This window comes from Homo sapiens, chromosome 13 (genome assembly GCF_000001405.40).
Source record: "Homo sapiens chromosome 13, GRCh38.p14 Primary Assembly".
Lineage (NCBI taxonomy): Eukaryota > Metazoa > Chordata > Mammalia > Primates > Hominidae > Homo > Homo sapiens.
Genome location: NC_000013.11, coordinates 27976725 through 27996704, shown reverse-complemented (window position 1 = coordinate 27996704; position 19980 = coordinate 27976725). Strand labels below are relative to the sequence as shown.

The 19980-nt window shown below is 47.7% G+C and overlaps 1 protein-coding gene, 1 long non-coding RNA gene and 1 pseudogene across 4 annotated transcripts, besides 1 other annotated feature; 2 read left to right on the top strand and 1 right to left on the bottom strand.

Annotated features, from left to right (window-relative positions):
- Positions 1 to 6919: 6919 nt before the first annotated feature.
- Positions 6920 to 16550, bottom strand: LOC105370132 (uncharacterized). 2 transcript variants are annotated; one of them, XR_941790.2, is made up of 4 exons: positions 16451 to 16550; positions 15522 to 15643; positions 8022 to 8267; positions 6920 to 7294 (listed from the first exon to the last, which is right to left on the bottom strand). It is a non-coding gene; the product is annotated as an uncharacterized LOC105370132 (long non-coding RNA). The 2 variants fall into 2 exon arrangements; XR_941791.1 differs by lacking the exon at positions 6920 to 7294 and adding an exon at positions 12305 to 12353 and having other exon boundaries at positions 8210 to 8267.
- RN7SL272P (RNA, 7SL, cytoplasmic 272, pseudogene) lies at positions 7121 to 7409 on the top strand (annotated as a pseudogene).
- URAD (ureidoimidazoline (2-oxo-4-hydroxy-4-carboxy-5-) decarboxylase) lies at positions 8012 to 18988 on the top strand. 2 transcript variants are annotated; one of them, NM_001105577.2, is made up of 2 exons: positions 8012 to 8242; positions 18253 to 18988. In NM_001105577.2, exons 1-2 carry the CDS (start codon positions 8068 to 8070, stop codon positions 18597 to 18599), a joined length of 522 nt encoding a protein of 173 aa, NP_001099047.1. In that variant the 5' UTR covers positions 8012 to 8067; the 3' UTR covers positions 18600 to 18988. The 2 variants fall into 2 exon arrangements, 1 of the variants encoding a protein (NP_001099047.1); NR_197241.1 differs by lacking the exon at positions 8012 to 8242 and adding an exon at positions 18041 to 18100.
- Positions 17543 to 18076: an enhancer, noted in NCBI's record as "OCT4-NANOG-H3K4me1 hESC enhancer chr13:28552766-28553299 (GRCh37/hg19 assembly coordinates)". NCBI's record gives its function as "activates a minimal SCP1, AML or CMV promoter by ChIP-STARR-seq in primed H9 embryonic stem cells {active_cell/tissue: H9 hESC(primed)}" and the evidence as "EXISTENCE:reporter gene assay evidence [ECO:0000049][PMID:30033119]".
- Positions 18989 to 19980: the final 992 nt, after the last annotated feature.

The window sequence follows — 19980 nt, the reverse complement described above, 5'->3', positions numbered from 1 at the left end:
GTTTTTATATCTTGGCTATTGTGAATAGTGCTGCAATGAGCATGGTTGTGCAGACATCTCTTTCACATACTGATTCCAATTCTTTTGGACATATACCCAGTGGATTACTGGATCATATGGTGAGTCTATTCTTAGTTTTTTGAGGATCCTCCATACTGTCTTCCAAAATGGCTGTATTAATTTACATTCTCATCAACAGTGCATAACGGTTTCTGTCATCTTTTTATAATAGCCGATCTAACAGGTGTAAGGTGGTATTTCATTATGGTTTTAATTTGCATCTCTCTCTTTCTCTCTCTCTTCTTTCTTTTTTTTTTTTTAAGTGAAATTTTGTTCTTGTTGCCCAAGCTGGAGTGCAATGGTGCGATCTTGGCTCACTGCAACCTCTGCCTCCCGGGTTCAACCGATTCTCCTGCCTCAGCCCCCCAAGTAGCTGGGATTACAGGCGAGCACCACCAGCCTGGCTAATTTTTTGTGTTTTTAGTAGAAACAGGGTTTCACCATGTTAGCCAGGCTGGTCTCAAACTCCTGACCTCAGGGATCCACCTACCTCGGCCTCCCAAAGTGCTGGGATTACAGGCATGAGCCACCACACCCGGTCATCATCTCTCTTTTTTTTAATTTTTATTTTTTGAGACAGGGTCTCACTCTGTTGCCCAGGCTGGAGCACAGTGGTGAGATCTCAGCTTACTGCAGCCTCAACCTCCTGGGCTCAGGTAATTCTCCCACCTCAGCCTCCCAAGTACCTGGAACTACAGGCATGTGTCACCATGCCTGGCTAATTTTTTGTGTGTGTATTTTTATTAGAGATGGGGTTTCACATGTTCCCCAGGCTGGTCTTGAACTCCTGAACTCAAGCAATTTGCCTGCCTTGGCCTCCCAAAGTGCTGGGATTACAGGTGTGAGCCACCATGCCCAGCCTGCATTTATCCCTCTCTCTCTCTCTCTTTTTTTTTTTTAATACATTGTTGCTGGCTTGAACTGCATTTCTCTTATAATTAGTGATGTTGAACATTTTTTCATATATCTGTTGGTCATCTGTATGTTTTCTTTTGAGAGATGTCTATTCAAGCCCTTAGCACCCTCCCCCTTTTTTTTGAGACAGTCTTGCTCTGTCTCCCAGGCTGAAGTGTAGTGGCACCATCTCAGCTCACCACAACCTCTGCCTCCTAGGTTCAAGCGATTCTCCTGCCTCAGCCTCCTGAGTAGCTGGGATTACAGGCACGTGCCACCATGCACAGCTAATTTTTGTATTTTTAGTAAAGGCGGGGTTTTGCCATGTTGGCCAGGCTGGTCTTGAACTCCCGACCTCAAATGATCCACCCACCTCGGCTTCCCAAGGTGCTAGGATTACAGGCATGAGCCACTTGTGCCTGGCCCTTCATTTTCTCTTCTTTCATTCTCTTCAGCTTCTCATGAAAGACTTCCACAGTAACAGACTTAGCTGAACTCCTCTGCCACTCCCTTTATATTTTTTTGTCAAAAAGAAATGATCAACTGGGTGCGGTGGCTCACTCCTGTAATCCCAGCACATTGGGAAGTGGAGGCAGGCGGATCACTTGAGGTCAGAAGTTTGGTCTGGTCAACATGGCGAAACCCTGTCTCTATTAAAAATACACAATTTAGCCAGGTGTGGTGGTGCATGCCTGTAATCCTAGCTACTTGGGAGGCTAAGGCACAAGAATCGCTTGAACCTGGGAGGTGGAGGTTGCAGTGAGCCAAGATCACACCATTGCACTCCAGCCTGGGTGACAAGAGCAAGACTCCGTCTCCAAAAAAAAAAAAAAAAAAAAAATCTATCATTGTTTACATTTGATTCTGTCGATGCTGCGGTCACCATCAGCAACAGAAATAAAAAGTGGGAGGAGTTACCACCTAAAAAATACACATCTGTTTTTTAGCTCCTAGGGGGTCCAACATGTATTAAATTCCAAATTATCTTAATGAGAGACAAAAAGGCTTTGGTGAATTTTTTGTGGCAAAATAAACATAACATAAAATTCACCATCTTAACCACTTTTCAGTGCACAGTTTGGTGGTATTAAGGACATTCATGTTGTTGTGCAACCATCATTGCTATCCCGCTCCAGAACTTTTTCATCTTGGAAAACTAAAACCATGTGCCCATTAAACCCCTTCCCACTTCTCCCTTCCTCCAGCCCCTCACCACCGCCACCCACTGTCTCTCTGAATCTGACTACTCTAGGCACCTCTTGTAAGTGGAATCATGCAGTGTTTGTCTTTTTGTGACTGGCTTATTGCACCTGGCATAATGTCCTCCAGGTTTGCTTTGATGAACTCTTTTATTGGTAACATACTCTGTGCTAAAGGCCTCATACAGATTGTCCCATTTAACAAATCATGAGGTAGGAACTTGCTCTGTAGGAGTTTAACAGATGGTGAAACCAAGGCTTAAGGCGGTTAAATCACTTGTACATGGAGCCAGTACCTGCCGGGCATGACCTGGAACCCATGCCTGCCCAGCTCCTGGTGGTCACACGATGTGGCATCCCTTCGGGGCCCCTCCCACCTGTACTTCATCTTGCTTGGCTCAGTCACCCGGCCAGTGAAGGGGTCTGGTAATAGCAGAACAAATGAGTTCCAATTTCTAATTTGCCTCAAACTGAAGATGTATATACCTGGAAGTGATTTGTCTTTCTTGTATCTTATCCAAAAACTATTTCTACATAAGCTCCAATCATGAAAAGTGAATGGCTATAGTTGAGGAGAACAGATACAGATGTATGAAATGTTCTGTTTTGTTTTTTTGAGATGGGATGGGGGTTTCAATCTGTTGCCTGGTGTCGGGTGGTGCGATCATGATGCACTGCAGCGCTGACCTCCTGGGCTCAGGCAATCTTCCTGCCTCAGCCACCACATCTGGCTAATTTTTAAATTATTATTATTTTTTAATAGAGATGGAGTCTCTCCATGTTGCCCAGGCTGGTCTCAAACTCCTAGGCTCAAGCAATCCTCCCACTTCAAAGTGCTGGGATTACAGGCATGAACCACCACACCTGGCCACATGTTGTTTGTTTGTGTATATGTGGTGTTTTTGTGTTTGTTTGGTTGGTTTTTTTTTTTTTTTAGATGGAGTTTCACTCTGTTGCCCAGGCTGGAATGCAGTGGCGCGATCTCGGCTCACTGCAACCTCTGCCTCCCGGGTTTAAGTGATTCTCGTGCCTCAGCCTCCCAAGTAGCTGAGACGACAGGTGCCCACCACCACGCCTGGCTAATTTTTGTATTTTTAGCAGAGATGGGGTTTCACTATGTTGGCCAGGCTGGTCTCAAATTGCTGACCTCAGATGATCTACCCTCCTTGGTCTCCCAAAGTGCTGGGATTACAGGCATGAGCCACGGTGCCCAGCATTTTTTTTTTTTTTTTTGAAGCAGGGTCTTGTTCTTGTTCTGTTACCCACTTACCCACGCTGGAGTGCAGTGGTACGATCGTAACTCACCGTAAGCTTGAATTCCTGGGCCCAAGCCATCCTCTCACCTCAGCCTATAAAAATGCTGATATTACAGATGTAACCACTATGTCCAGCCTGAAATGTTTCAACTAAAAAATGAAATAAAAATTTGATTTTACCTATTTAAGAACTTTCTCTATGTGCTGCTAAAACAGTCTCTTAACAAAATTATAATAAGGTCAAATATATTCAGCAACCATAACATAAGACTCATATATTGTGTGGTTAAACAAAAATTATGAGGCCACATCAGTATATAATTTAGCTTAAAAAACAGTTTTATTGATATATAATTTACATAGCATACAATTGTACACTAAATTATAATGTACAATTTAATAAATTAGCTTTTTGGTTGGATGAAAATTGCTTTACTTCCTGACCACCTTACATTTCTTTGGTCGATTTGGCTGATGAGAACCAAACAGGAAAAGTTAAGCCCAGAGTACATTTGTGACATGGACTGTCAAATTCCACATTAATAATGCATTTGTTTGGTTTTTGTCAATGTTGCTTCTAAACCCATGACTATTTAATTTTGTAACCTTTTGTGTCTTAAAAGTTTCTATGTTAGTGAATCATTTGGAATTCCATTGTTTTGTGATAGATATAACAAAGTAAGAGGAGGTTAGGTGTCCAGTCTGGTGGAGTAGCATCAGGGGTGTAGCCATTCCCACTGCTTGTGCCAGCGTGTCCCTGAGCCAAAGGCGTTTCATCTCACAAATTCAGATGTCTCTCTCCTGCTGCAGACGAACTGAGCCCCCCAGCCCCAAGGTGCAGGCAGGAGCTCTCACAGCCCCAGAGACCCTCAGTGTGTGGAGGAAGTGGGAGGGTGGTTCATGCACAGGGGGTGAGCCTTCAGAAGTCAAAGAGTAGCGGCCCAGGGTCTCTTCATCCTCAGCACTGCTCTGCCTTCCCCTCCCACTCACCACGACCCCTGGGACGAGGGACACCTATGTGGCTGGAGGCCTGGGCAGAGCAGTGGTACGGGCCCCGACACAGATTCTACCTTCCCTGGTCCCACAGGCCAGCCCGCAAATTAACTGAGGCTGGAGGTGGCAGCAGAGGGAAAAAGAAAACAAACAGATACTGGGCTGTTGGACTATATCTGTGGCAAAGCATGCCTAGACAAGGAAAAGAGGATGTGACTCTGCTGGCAGAAGGGAAAAAAAGAAAATCCTGTGGCAGTCCAGCGGAGAGACTGCACACAGAAGATGTGTTAGCCAACACCTATGAAGCGCTCTGAGACAGGAACCGTCTGAGCACTTTGGTATATTAATTTGTTTAATCTTTGCAAAACTCCCTGAGGCAAATAGTATTTTTTCTTTTTCTTTTTCTTTTTTCTTTCTTTTCTTTTCTTTCTTTTTTTTTTTTGAGACAGAATCTTGTTCTATTGTCCAGGCTGGAGTGCAGTGGTGCAATCTCAGCTCACTGCAACCTCCGCCTTTTGGGTTCAAGTGATTCTCCTGCCTCAGCCTCCTGAGTAGCTGGGATTACAGGCACGCACCACCACTCCCGGCTAATTTTTGTATTTTTAGTAGAGACGGGGTTTCACCATGTTGGCCAGGCTGTTCTCGAACTCCTGACTTCAGGTGATCCACCCGCCTTGGCCTCCCAAAGTGCTGGGATTACAGGCGTGAGCCACTGCGCTTGGCCATAAATACTATTATTATCCTCATTTTACAGATGAGGAAACTTATATATAGAAAAGTTCGAGAACTTGTCACATGTCACACAATAGGTGGTGGAGCTGGGATCACAACCCAGGTGGTGGCTCCCGAGTCCAAGCTCACTATGCTGTGCTGCACGGCCAGAAACAGCATACACGCTGCGTGATTCCATATACATATACCTATACCTACACCTATACCTACACCTATACCTATACCTATACCTATACCTATACCTACACCTATACATATACATATACCTATACCTATACCTATATATATACATATACCTACACCTATACATATACATATACCTACACCTATACCTATACATATACATATACCTATACCTATACATATACATATACATATACCTATACATATACCTACACCTACACCTATACATATACATATACATATACCTATACCTATACCTATACCTATACATATACCTACACCTATACATATACATATACCTACACCTATACCTATACATATACCTATACCTATACATATACATATACATATACCTATACATATACCTACACCTACACCTATACATATACATATACCTATACCTATACCTATACCTATACATATACATATACATATACCTATACCTATACATATACCTACACCTATACCTATACCTATACATATACCTATACATATACCTATACCTATACATATACCTATACCTATACCTATACCTATACCTATACCTATACCTACACCTACACCTATACATATACCTATACCTATACCTATACCTACACCTACACCTACACCTACACCTACACCTATACCTATACCTATACCTATACCTATACCTATACATATACCTATACATATACGCACACAGAGGTATACACTGTAGAAGTGTTAACCCTTCTTTCCTTATATTTCAATAGAAGGCCAGTCATGCTGGAACTTCTGGCACCAGATTTATCCCCTTTGAAAAGCAAGTTTTAGCAGCTACTTTTTAAGAGATGAGGGCTCGGTTGGTTAGTCCTGACCCGATGGGCCAGGTAGTCAAGGAGAGGTGCCAGCTGGGGAAGAGTCTGTAGACTTAGGACGAAAATAATGGCTGCTGGTAGATCACATGGGTACGGTTGTTGTTTGCCTTTCACAGACCATAGGAGCACATGAGACTGGTTTATGAATCCTAATATGGTTGTTCTCTCATTGAATTTTTGTTTTTTGAGAGAAGGTCTCATTATGCTGCCCAGGCTGGCCTGGACCTTCTGGGCTCAAGCAATTCTCCTGCCTCGGCCTCCTGAGTAGCTGGGGCTACAGGCACATGCCACCTTACCTGGTTCATTGATTTTTTATTCAAATGAAAGCAAATGTGTAACTGGTATGGCTTTGGGAAATGTTTGCATTTGTAGTTCTAAAGGGAGATAGCAGTAATGTGTTTATTTGTCAATTCTGACCCCTTCTTTTCTTTGACTTTACCTGGCACATTATTTTGTTTTGTGTATACCTGGAAGACATTAGTACGTGAAATCTAATCTATGTGGTTAGCTAACTGGCCAACCAATTCATCCCATAGTGCTTCTTTCATGCCTACCGTAGGCACAGCTCTTGTCAGCCAGGATACAGAGGCAACAAGACACACTGGTCTCCAGGCTTCTGGAATATGTCCCGGCTGAGAACCGACATACAAGTAAATACATACAAGAAGCAACATAGACACAGATATTTTCAAGAAGAAAATAACTCCTAATGGGGTTTGAGAGACTATTGAGAATGGGGCAGAATTATTCCTTAGACATTTTGTCCTGCTTAATGAGCATTTATTAAGTACTTGTTGTGTTAAGCATCTGGCATACACAGACTGAGAAAAACATAGTACCTGTCCTTAACAGCAGCAATAACAATAGTTAGGAAATCAAGTTCCAAGTGGGTTGACCCGTGGACCTGGCTAAATTATCAGGGAAAATGTCCTGCGGTGATGATGACATTAAAGTGTTAATAACAGCCAGACGCGGCTGTAGTCCCAGCTACTCGGGAGGCTAAGGCAGGTGGATCACTGGAGTCCAGGAGTTCCGGGCTGTAGTGCGCTCTGCCGATCAGGTGACTGCACCAAGTTCGGCATCAATCTGATGTCCTCCAGGAAGACCGGAGCCACCAGATTGCCCAGGGAGCGGTGAACTGGCCCAGGTTGGAAAGAGAACAGGTCAAAACTCCACTGCTGATCAGTAGTGGGATTGTGCCTATGAATAGCCACTGCACTCCAGCTTGGACAACCTAGGCAGAACCTATCTCAAATAATAACAATATAATAATTACCTGTAATTCCAGCACTTTGCGAGGCCGAGGCAGGTGGATTACTTGAGGTCAGGAGTTCGAGACCAGCCTGGCCAACATGGTGAAACCCTGTTTCTACTAAAACAAACAAACAAACAAACAAACAAAACCAAAAACATAAACTTAGCTGGATGTGGTGGCAAATGCCTGTAATCCCAGCTACTCAGGAGGCTGAGATAGGCAAATCGCTGGAACCCAGGGGGTGGAGGTTGTAGTGAGCTGAGATTGCACCACTGTGCTCCAGCCTGGGTGACAGAGCTAGACACCAAAAAAAAAAAAAAAAAAAAAAAAGCCTAACAACATGAAAAACAAATCTGGCTCTAATGCTTAGAGTGAAATATGGCCCCTGCTGCCTTTGATTATGGGAATGGTTTGGTTGGAAACATTGACCATGCAGAGATCTCTGCTCCCTGGATTAGAACCTTAAGCCTGTGCTTGTTCATTACACAAGTATTCTGGATCTGCTTCTCCCAAAGGCATTTAAAACACGCGAAGGTGGTGTTGCGTAAACAGCAAGCTCTTGTGTTCAGCAGATATAACCGAGTGAGCCGAGACAGCGTCACTCACTCACCGAGAGGGGAGCTGGACGTCCCGCTGTCTCCAGTGGAATACAAGGAATGGACATTGAGAAGGTCAACTCCATGGACCTTGGAGAATTCGTGGATGTGTTTGGGAATGCCACTGAGAGATGTCCTCTGATTGCAGCTGCTGTTTGGTCCCAGCGGCCATTCTCTGATTTGGAAGATTTAGAGAAGCACTTTTTTGCCTTTATTGATGCCCTTGCACAGTCAGGTAAGGCTTCCGTATCAGACATTCTCTGCAAAGGGATTTCAAATATGCTTGTTAAAATATTTTTAGATACTGGCCAGGAATGGTGGCTCACACCTGTAATCCCAGCACTTTGGGAGGCTGAGATGGGAGGATCACTTGAGCCCAGGAATTTGAGACCAGTCTAGGCAACATGATGAGATCTGTTGCTACAAAAATTGCTTTTAGGCCGGGCGTGTTGGTGGCTCACGCCTGTAATCCCAGCACTTTGGGAGGCCGAGGTGGGTGGATCACAAGGTCAGGAGATCGAGACCATCCTGGCCAACATGGTGAAACCCCATCTCTACTAAAATACAAAAAATTAGCCAGGCGTGGTGGCACGTGCCTGTAGTTCCAGCTATTCGGGAGGCTGAGGCAGGAGAATCGCTTGAGCCTGGGAAGCGGAGATTGCAGTGAGCCAAAATTTCACCACTGCACTCCAGCCTGGTGGCAGAGCAAGACTATGTCTCAAAAAACAAAACAAAAAACAACAAAAAAAGTTGTTTTTAAAAATCTATCTATCTATCTATCTATCTATCTATCTATCTATCTATCATCTATCTATTTTAGTCTAATTCCTTATACTTGATGTGTTTATTGAGTTCTTTCCTTTGGAAGGTTCAGTAAGTTTCCTCAGGTCTAGTCCGTAAGAGTCAAGCACTTGTGTGGTTTAGGTCAGACATGGACTGGAAGAATGCGGTGGCTAAGGAAAGTGGCTGTTAAATATTAGAGCTTTGAGGTCACAAGGAGGAACCTAGCAAAAGACATCAGAGTGATTCGGAGGCTAAAGGCTAGGCTGAGGGCCCACCCTGTCTTAGCCACCCCATCTGGCTTGGGAATGTCCTGTATGTGACAGAGAGGACAGCTGGATACCAGACTATCTCCAGAGCCCAGGGGAAAGGGCAATCGGCTGACTTTTGTACCACAAAGGGCCAGTTTGGACTGGATGGCCGAGGAGAGTGAATTCATTCAGATCAGCAACTCCCTGAGGGATGGAGGGGAAGGAGGAGAATCTGAAGGCATCCCTCTGGAGGAAGGGAAAGAAGTTACTGATTTCTTCTGTGGAGAGAGAGAGAAAATGAGGCACTTCTTGGTGTGGGGTGAGGAGAAGAGGGGGTGACTCCGAATGACACACACAGCTTCACAGAGACCAGGCTGCCTCAGGGGCTGTCCTGGATGCTCTGTGGAGAAACCTGAAATGTACTGAAGGGGTGGCGAGGGGCAGAGAGGCCTCTGTGGACATCTGGGTGGGGAAGGAGAGCCCCTGCTCTCTTCACCAAAAAGGAGCCAACAGACGATGCCGCCTATCAGGATGGCCTTTGACAGCCAGATGGCTTCTGACCGTCATACAGACGTCTCCAAAATAAGGAGCTCCTTTTCATTCATTTGAGGCTTATCTAGGAAGAGCAGAGGATGTCATAAAATCAAATGGACAGGAATGTTGGGGCCATGTGGACACTCACCCACTTCTGGGGGCCTCTCCATAGCTGAGGACTTCAGCTCCTCCACTGGGCTTGGGGGTCATCACTGGAGCTTTCTGACCCTTGACTCACAGGGACAGCCCAGTCCCAGCCTGATGAGTGAAGGGACCACAGCCTCTCAGCTGAACTCCTGCAGGGCAGGCCGGAAGGAGCAGGAGGCCCCGGAGCCCACCCTCTCAATGTCTGACAGGAAAATAGAATAGAGGAGGCAAAATGACAGCCTCACTGGAAAGTAATTTCTTTACAGGAAAAAAAAAGAGAGGCATATCCTTTGATTGTCTTAATACCCAAAGGAGTGGTGAGGCTGAGGAGGGAGCGTGTTGAGAGAGAAAGCTAGGATCGCGTGAATAATTTAGATCTATTGTTCTTGGGTTTGGCCAGTTACTTAACACACGTTTTGGGGGCTTTCTTACTCTGTGTCTGGAACTTTGATAAAAACATAACAATTTCTCCATTTTCATCTTATTGCTCACCAACACTCCCCACAATCCAGCTGGCCAGAGGTTCTAGTTCCGGGTCAGTCCAGTCAGGGCCCTGAGCATAGTGGAGTGTGGGCAGCACTGGACGTGGGCAACCCCCGCTCCCGAGGCTTGTTTTGATGCCCCCGTGACTTGATGAAACCTCTGTCTCCTGGCTAGTGTCAGAATCCCAGATCACAGAGTGAACAGGATGTTGGGACTTAATCAAAGTTTGCTGAATGAATGCATGAAATCGTTTCCAAGGTGATACTGAAAAGTGGGAATTCTGGCATTACCCCCTTCCCCACACATTTTAACTGGGTGACTCAGTGGTAGGTCAGTGGACAAAATGGCTGGAGGGAGTTTGGGCCCCCTGGACGGTTGTTGGTGTCTGCAGTAGACACGGTTCTGGGGAGGAGCTCCCTGTGGTGGAGGCTGCTTCTCGGTTCTGCACTTGTCTGGGAGCAGCTGGGAGCCTCATTGCTGTCTGGCGGCAGCTCCTCATCTTAACATCTCAGTAACAGTAGACAAGTGATGTTATCAATGGTGACAATAACAACAACAAATAGCTAAAATGTATTGAACTTTTACTACTGGTGTGTTTCAGGCACTTTTCCAAAAACTTTGCACTTGCTAACTCATTCAATCCTCTAATATCCCTATAAAATGAGGAATAGTATTATTATTGCTCCCATTCTTACCGATGGGAAAACTGAGGCACACAGAGATTAAGTAACTTGAGCAAGGACACACTACTAGAAAGTGGCAGGACTGGAATTCTAATAACCCTGAGAGTCAACCCAACAGGTTTTGAAGGCTTTTTCCAGACAATGAGAAACAAAGTCTAGAAACAGTTTTTAGGGTTTTCATTCATTTATCCACTAATGTATTTGATTAAGATAAATGCTTGATGTCCTAGACCCCATGTTTTATTGTTTAAATAATCAAATAAAATGATCTACTTCGCAGCTTGGTGACTATAGTCAATAATAATCTATTGTATATTTGGAAATTGCCAAGAAAGTAGGCTTTTTTATTTTTTATTTTAATTGAGGTAGAGGCTCACTCTGTCACCCAAGCTAGAGTGCAGTGGCACCATCTTGGCTCACTGCATCCTCACCCTCCCGGGTTCAAGCGATTCTCCTGCCTTAGCCTCCCTCGTAGCTGGGATTACAGGCACCTGCCACCATGCCCAGCTAATTTTTCTATTTTTAGTAGAGATGGGGTTTCATCATGTTGGCCATGCTTGTCTCAAATTCCTGACCTCAAGTGATCCGCCCACCTTGGCCTCCCAAAGTGCTGGGGTTACAGACATGAGCCACCTTGCCCCACCTTCAAGAGAGTAGATTTTAAATGTTCTTACTACCAAAAAATGATAAATATGTGAGGTGATAGATATATTAAAAAGCTTGACTTCATCATTTCACAATGTATACATATATGGAAAGCATCAAGGTGCACACCATAAACATGTATAATTTTTATTTGTCAAAAAATCCAATAAAATTGCTTTTGTTTGTTTGTTTTTTTGAGATGGAGTCTTGCTCTGTCATCCAGGCTGGAGTGCAGTGGCACAATCTCAGCTCACTGCAACCTCCGCCTCCCGGGTTCAAGCGATTCTCCTGCCTCAGCCTCCGGAGTAGCCGGGATTACAGGCACACACCACCATGCCCGGCTAATTTTTGTATTTTTTAACTAGAGACGGGGTTTCACCGTGTTAGCCAGGATGGTCTCAATCTCCTGACCTTGTGATCCGCCCACCTCGGCCTCCCAAACTGCTGGGATTACTGGTGTGAGCCACCGCGCCCAGCCTTAAAATGGGATTTATTACAGTCTAGCTTTACCCTTTGAATAGTAAGAAGCAAACTGGGTGAAATAGATTATTTGAATCTAAAAAGAAGGTACCTTAGAGAGACGTTCAAGTTACAGTGGTCTACCTAGTCATGTATTTGTTTTGGTGACTGAAGAAAAACCTCCACCATTAACAGAAAACAAAACTGGGTTTCTAGACTAAGGGCGAGTCCATTTAGGTTCTGCTATGATGATTATTGGCCAGTAGGTGGCAGTCCAGGATTAATATTGAGCTCTAGTGCTATTGGGCAAAGTACCTTCTCCAGCCAATCAGTTCCCACAGATTAAAGATGAGGCAAAGGTTTTCTAGGAAAGAGAACGGACAATTAGTAAAGGGAAGAAAGTTGAAACTCACATGCACTAACTGAAGAAATTCAGGACGGATTTGTGTTATGAAATTAAAGAGCAATACAACTTTCATAAGAGTTAATTAACTGTGCATTTCCGCTGGCTATGGTGAATCACACCTGTAATCCCAGCACTTTGGGAGTCTGAGGTGGGAGGATCGCTTGAGCCCAGAAGGTTGAGGCTGCAGTGAGCCATGATTGCACCACTGCACACCAGCCTGGATGACAGAGCGAGAACCCTGTCACAAAAAAAACAAAGTGCATCTCTGTGTCTTTCAGAATTATAGTAATGCCACAATTTATTACTTTATGCTTACTAAACAACATTTTTGTTGAATGAATGGAGTTGGATACTAATAAGTTCCTTATAATACAGGCTATGAGGGTTTTGGATCAAGCTATTAAAATGTGTTTGTTTATTCAGAAAACAAAACAAAACAAAACAAAATGAAACACTCCTTACCAAAAGTGCTGTGTTGGTCAAAAAATATTCACTGAGTGCCCACTGTGCCCCAGGGATTGTTGTGGGCACTGGGAACGGGGTAGTGACCAAGACAAGTCCTTGCCTTAAATGAGCTTACATTCTAGTGAAGAGAGACAGGATTAACATTAAAAATACCATTATTTCAGGTTCTAGAAATTCCCAGAAAAAATATATGTAATATGGCAGAAAATATGTAATAAAGGTGGTCTTTCTTAGGAGGTTAATTTAAGTTTAAGACCAAAGGATGAGAAATAAGTAGCTGAAATCTAGGATGAGGCCACTCATAGAAAAGGAACCTGGCTGGGCGTGGTGGCTCATGCCTGTAATCCTAGCACTTTGGGAGGATGAGGCAGATGGATCACTTGAGGTCAGGAGTTCGAGACCAGCCTGGCCAACACGGTGAAACCCGGTCTCTACTAAAAATAGAAAATTAGCTGGGCATGGTAGCACGCACCAGTAATCCTAGCTACTCGGGAGGCTGAGGCAGGAGAATCACTTGAACCCGGAAGACGGAGGTTGCAGTGAGCCGAGATCGCACCACTGCACTCCAGCCTGGGTGACAGGATGGGACTCTGTCTCAAAAACAAAAACAAAAAAAAAGCAAAGGAACCTGAGACCAGGATGAACTCGACATTTTTGGGGCACAGAAAGATCAAGGTAGTTGGAAAATAGTAAGGAGTAGAGGGATGTGAGGAAGAGGCAGCAAGGGCCTGATCATGTAAAGCTGCTTAGGTCTAATAAGGAACTTGCTTCTCCATGTGCAATGGGTCACTGGGGTTTATGCTTTAGGATGGTGATGTGGGGGCTATGTCAGATGCAGGGGGCCAGGTCGAGGGGCCACTGCAGTAGTAAGAGTAAGAGTTGAGGTTGCTTGGACTGTGGTTGGCGCAGTAGAGATGGAGAGATGCGAATGGATTCTCAGAATAGGGCTTACAGTTAGAGTCAACAGGATTTTTTTAAATGGATTTGATGACAGAAGGCAGATCAGAAACAGAGCTGAATGGTCACTCCTAAGTTTTCAGTCTGAGCCACTGGGTGGGTGGTGGTACCATTTTCCGAGTTGAGGAAGACTTAGAGTTGAGAAGACAGGATGGAGGAAGGAGCTTGCTGAGTCTAAGATACCCAAAAATCATCCAGATGAAAATGCTGACTGCTCAGTTGCATCAAAACAGAGGAGCTTGGTGAAACACTGAGGGCTAAAGTATATCTTGCTGTCATCAAAGAATGGATGGCATTTCAAACCCTACGACTGGCTGAGGGCACTTAGTAAGTACATTGGTGTAAACAACAAAGGGATGAGATGTGGGTACTGAGTCCTGTGGTACTAGTGCTAGTGACCTATCTGGCAGAGCAAGATGAAAGTAGGCAAAGGATGTCTCTGAAGGTAAGTGGTAGTCATTTTTTTTGAGACAGAGTCTTGCTCTGTCACCCAAGTTGGAGTGCAGTGGCGCAATCTCAGCTCACTGTAACCTCCGCCTCCCGGGTTCAAGTAATTCTCCTGCCTTGAGTAGCTGGGATTATAGGCGCGTGCCACTATGCCCAGCTAATTTTTGTATTTTTAGTAGAGACGAGGTTTCACCACGTTGGTCAGGCTGGTCTCGAACTCCTGACCTGGTGATCCACCCGCCTCGGCCTCCCAAAGTGCTGGGATTACAGGCATGAGTCACTGTGCCCGGCCGTTTATAGTCATTTTTTAAGGAGAGAGGGCCAACCAGGTGACATGGTCTGGAGAGGTTGAGAAAGAAGAGGTCAGGCATTGGTCTTTGGGCTCAGGCAAGATGCCCTTAATGAGTGCAGATCAGTTGGTACAGTGGCTCGAAACGTGACAGAGTGAGCCTGGAAAGGGAGGTCAGGAAGTGGAGAGGCCAGGAGACAACTCTAAGGTCTTTTCTGTAAGGAGGAGCAGAGAAATAGGGAGAAACAAGAGAGCAACAGGGAATCAAGGGAGAACGTTAATATTGTTTATGGGATGAGGGATTCTAAGGCATGTTTGCACATTGATAAGGGTAAGTGGTGTGGGGATGGAGAAATAGATATTTGAAATTGCAGAAGCAAAGTCTTTGACAGGAAAGGAGAGCTAGCTTCAAGAACACAAATGGAGGGGTTGGCCTTCCATAGGAAGATTGTCCATCGTACCAGGGGTAAGAACATACCCAGATACCACTGGGTATGGACCAGGAGGCAGTTGGACTGTTACGGGATTCTGAGCTTCCATGGCCACAATTGCCTGCCCTGTTCCTCTCCCATAGAACAATGAGTGTCTGCTCTGTGCCAGGAATTCTTCTAGGTGTAAAGATTCAGGTCCTGTGGTCCCGGCAAATAACACACATCCACACCTACATCTCTAGACGTGACACACCAATGCTTAGGAGGTAAGTCCAGATTTTCAAGAAAGACTGAAGAACGGGCAGTACCTAGATTCCCTGAGAACCACGGGCTGTCTGACTGGCCTGCCTAGCGCCTGGGCTTCCAGGTGGGGAACACTGAGGACTGGAGGCAAGGAGATGGCACCTACTTGCCCAGTATCCAGCCTCCCACTGGGGCTTATGGGCACAGCTTAGGGATAGCATACTGGCGCTGGCAGGGAACTGGGTCCTTGCTGCAGGCCAGTGGACACATAGACACCATTCCCGATGTACTTACTCAAGGGTCCAGTGGTTTGGGGCAATGAAGATTGGATATCTGGCCAGGTGAGGTCAGGCTCTGTTTCTTCCGAGCTACCATCCTCTACCTGATTCCTCACACCTTTTTCTTGTTAGGCGCAGCTAAGAGACAGAGAGAGAGAGAGAGAGAGAGAGGAGAGAGAGAGAGAGAGAGAAGCGACTGAAACAGAGAGTAAATTCTAGTTTCTCCTTTTTAGTCTCTTTTCTTCTGCCCTTTGCTCTGCTAGTTTATCTGCGTCTTTTCTCTTCTCGCGCTGCAAGAGTGGAAAACTCGTGCTCAGTTCTAGGCAAACATTAACCCCGGGCGACGTTTCCAAGCGGGAGACAAACTCTAGAGAGTGAGAAGCGAGATGCGAGGGCACCAAGGGCAAGAAGGGGGCTCGGGGTACGCCACGTTGGCGGGACGCCGCCGCCGCCTCCCTCTGCTGCGCGGCCTGCGCGGGGAGCCTGGTGGGGGCGGCAAGACGACAGACCCCGCGCCCGGACCTCCCACCAGTGACCACCTCCCTCGCAGCTTGGGCTGATCCTCCAGACAGCATGCAACGGTGGGGAGGGAAGTCCCCTGACTGGGCGGGGGACCTAGCGGCTGCTCTGAAACTCCGAACACCTGAAGAGGAGGCGCGGAAGGTCCAGCCGCCCAAGACTCGCACTTTCCCCTCCTCCGCAGCCCGGGCAGGTTACCGTCCTGGGCCTGGGTGAGCGCGGAGGGGATCCGGGCGGGAGCTGAGCTCGGTTCCCCAGGCCTGACAAGTGGCCGCGTGGCACGACCAACCCCGGGCACAGGGCTGGGGCTGCTCCCCCAGGTGGGGAATTTAATTCTCACATTTTCGCACTACCCTGACGGAGCTGGACGCGGGAAGCGGGAAAGACCCGTTCCTGTTTGCAGTGCCCGAGGGGCAGGACACCTACCAGAAGGGCTCTATCACAGTGGTGTTAGGCCGGCTCGGTGGCTCACACCTGTAATCCCAGCACTTTAGGAGGCCGAGGCGGGAGGATCGCTTGAACCCAGGAGGCAGAGGTTGCAGTGAGCCAAGATCGCCCCACTGCACTCCATCCCGGGCGACAGAGCTGTCTTGAAAAAACACACAAAAAACAAAAAACAGTGGTGTTAGAGGGATGGGATTATAGGTGACATGACTTTCGTTTTGAACTTTCCTTAACCTTGCAGGGGCAGCCGTGCCCTGAAAACGCCTGTGATTTGGAGTAGAGGGTCCAGGCGCAGTGTGGTGAGTGACCCTAGGCAGGTCACTAGTTCTTTTTCAGCCTTCACTGAATCCTCTCTTACACGGGGATGTTACCCCCAGTTCTCCGTGTCTTTCAGGGAGAAATTAGTTCATGAGTTAGATGGTGCACTATCAATCATCCTTTTATTAGACAGAAACAATAAGTTTGAGGAAGAGGACGTCTACCTTACAGGGGGTTTAATTTTCAGCTTCTTTGAGATAAAATTCATTGAACGGTGTTTTACGTGCGCGCCTTTTCCAACAGACCCCACGCCTATTCCCAGCGCCAGAGGCGGACAACCGCTTTACTGAGATACAGAGACAGGTACTTCCTGAGGCACTTCAGTCCAGTTCCACTGGGTTTACTACAACTAATAATGACTGTTTCTGTTTACTAGGTATTAGGCGATGTGTTTTAAGTAAATGAATTGTCTCTAATCCTCACAACTCTAAAGCAAGTTAGGCGTCACCCGCATTTTACAAATCATAGCGCCCTGCTCACCATATCTGGAATCTTGCCTCGCCCCGAGGGTTCTAATTTTCACTTTAGAGAGCTGAGCAAGATGATTGCCCAGCGCTAACTCCGTGAAATCCCTGGGACTGAAAATCACAGGTAACTCGCCAGAGTTTTTCAATTTTAGGCCTAGGAGATTATGCAAAGATTTCCTTCAAGTAAACGCTGTTCTCTGGGGCCTCTGGGATCTACAGTCGGAGAAGGGGAATAAGTCCCGGGCCGGTGGGGGATGGGTGGGTGCAGTTTCCTAAATAGAGGAAAGCCACTTTCATTCAAAGGGCTGTGGAACTCTGGCTAGAGGTGGGTTTCTTTGCAGTTAATCATCTGCAAGGCTCTTTGGATGCCTGATTCCAGAAACCCAGAACTCACACTTAGGGTCACAAAATCCAGGGCATTTATTTGCCGAGCCCCATGGATGTTATCCCTATGGATGCACCCCGCCCCTGTCCGTTCTCCTTTGGAGCAGAACGAAACCCATTCCAGAGCTTTTGCAGGAAGTCTTCAGGCCCTTGCGTCCGGCCCCTTTAGACATCAAAGCCCCCCCTGAGAGCAAAGGACTTTGAAAGATAGGAAAAGCTCAGGATCCTTATCGCGTCTCTGCTCCCTCCCGACCTAGTCGTAAATTCCGAGCCTCAGCGGCCGCCCTCTCTCTCCTCCGCTCTTCTTGACCCAAGGTCTCAAAAGACAAACGTGTCACTTCCCGCCCCGCCCCTGGATCCTGGTCCCGACCGAATGTAGTGGGGACCGAGAAGCGCAAGGTCCAGGACTTGTTAGAGGGGCGCGCCAAGGGCGCCCCTGTTCCGCCAGGACATCACCGCCTGGGTACTCTACTTCACCCTCCCGCAGCCTTCTTTGGGGCCGGGCGGGGCGGGGCGGGGCAGGGGGGCCGGGCGCGGCCTACGCGCCCCCTCGAGTGCGCGGTGCGGGACGGGCGCGGTTGACGCGCTCCCGCCGGTGTCTGTGCTTCTCCGCAGGCCAGGAGGGCATCCTGCGCTGCCACCCGGACCTGGCGGGCAGCGAGCTGCAGCGGGGCACGCTCACGGCCGAGTCGCAGCGGGAACAGAGCGGCGCAGGCCTGAGGAGCCTGGGCGCGGACGAGCGGCTGCGGCTGGCCGAGCTCAACGCGCAGTACCGCGCGCGCTTCGGTTTCCCCTTCGTGCTCGCCGCGCGCTTCAGCGACCGGACGGCGGTGCCGCGCGAGCTGGCGCGCCGGCTGCTCTGCCCGTCCGCGCAGGAGCTGCGCACTGCTCTGGGCGAGGTGAAGAAGATCGGCAGCCTGCGCCTGGCCGACCTCCTCCGCGCAGACCCCGCCAAGCTGTAGCTGCCGCGCGGGCCAGGGACCCGGGACGCACAACCGGACGCGCGGGGGCCACGGCCCGGAGCTGTGCGTCCTGGGCGGGAGGCGGACTCGGGCCTGGAACAGCGTCCACACACGTGCACAAAGGAAGTGGAGAATTGAGGCAATCATACGAGTAATGAGTCCTTTTGTCCGCCCACCCACACGCGCACGCGTTGCCAAAATATCCATATTGTTTAGTGCTTTGCCCCGGATTTATCCAGCTCACTGCTTCAATTCTTCACTCCCTTTGCGGCCCCCGACACCACCGGCCTTTGTGGATTCCAAAGCGTTTATCCAGTTCTCCCCAACCCTCTCCTGCTAAGCCCGAACTGCAAAGCAAAACGGACGGAAAAGGAATCTTTTATGCCACAGCGGTTTGTCTGTTTTTCTCTTTTCCCACTTCATTTGCTGCGCCCGACCTTTACATGTGAGCGGAAGCGGTGTTCTCGCTCTTGGGCACTAGGGGAGCAGACTGGGAGCCAGGAAAGTCAAACGCTGGCCTCGGTCCGGCCTGGGGAGCCGGGGAAGCCGCAGGAAGGAGGCGGTGGGCCGGGAAGAGCCCTGCGAAGGGAAGAGCCAACCGAAGGGTTGGGAAGGCGCCCCGTGGGGACGGACGGAATAGTTGCAGCCATCGCTCCTAAAAGGCGGGAGGCGTCCAGCTAAAGATCTCTCCCGGAGGTCGGCTTTGGGGGGGTGGCTCGACTGCCCCGGGAAACCCATCAGTTATTAAAATAGTAACATTGAGCAGCGCTGGGTATTTGGACCCCAGAATGAAGCGAGATTGCAGTGTCGATTAAATGGAGGGAAGTGCCCATAGAAATCTTTGCTTGTCAGCCCTGGAGTTTCAGACCCCTATTAGGCTGGGCAGCTTCCTGTACCAGCAGCCAGACTGTCCACTGGGGGAAAGTACATTAGCATCCTGCGGAGGAGCCCACCACATTCTACCACCCGTCGACACCCCCCCGCCCCCCCCAACACAGGGAAGGTGTAAAGAGCCCCAACAAATACTACTTAGGCTTCTATTGGCAGAGGAGAAATGAAACACCCATGGTCTCCCCAACAAAGACAAGGTAATAGGCGAAGGCCAGAGGTGGCCCTTTTGAAGACAAGAGCTTCTATTAGTCACCAACTGTGTCCAGGGTTAGCAGCAGCAGCAGCAACAGCAGCAAGGAAACCTTTCCATAAAGAGCTGCGTGGCTGCACCCTTGGTTCTGGGGCTGATGTTCCATAGAAATAAATCATTCCTGAAGCACTAGGAATTTTAGGCAAGGAAGCCCTTTTCCCGTTCCCATCTCACAGTGTTTCCTGCTGTGGTAAGGCTGAAGGAAATAGAAGCTGGTAGTGGGGCAGGTGTTAGGAAAGC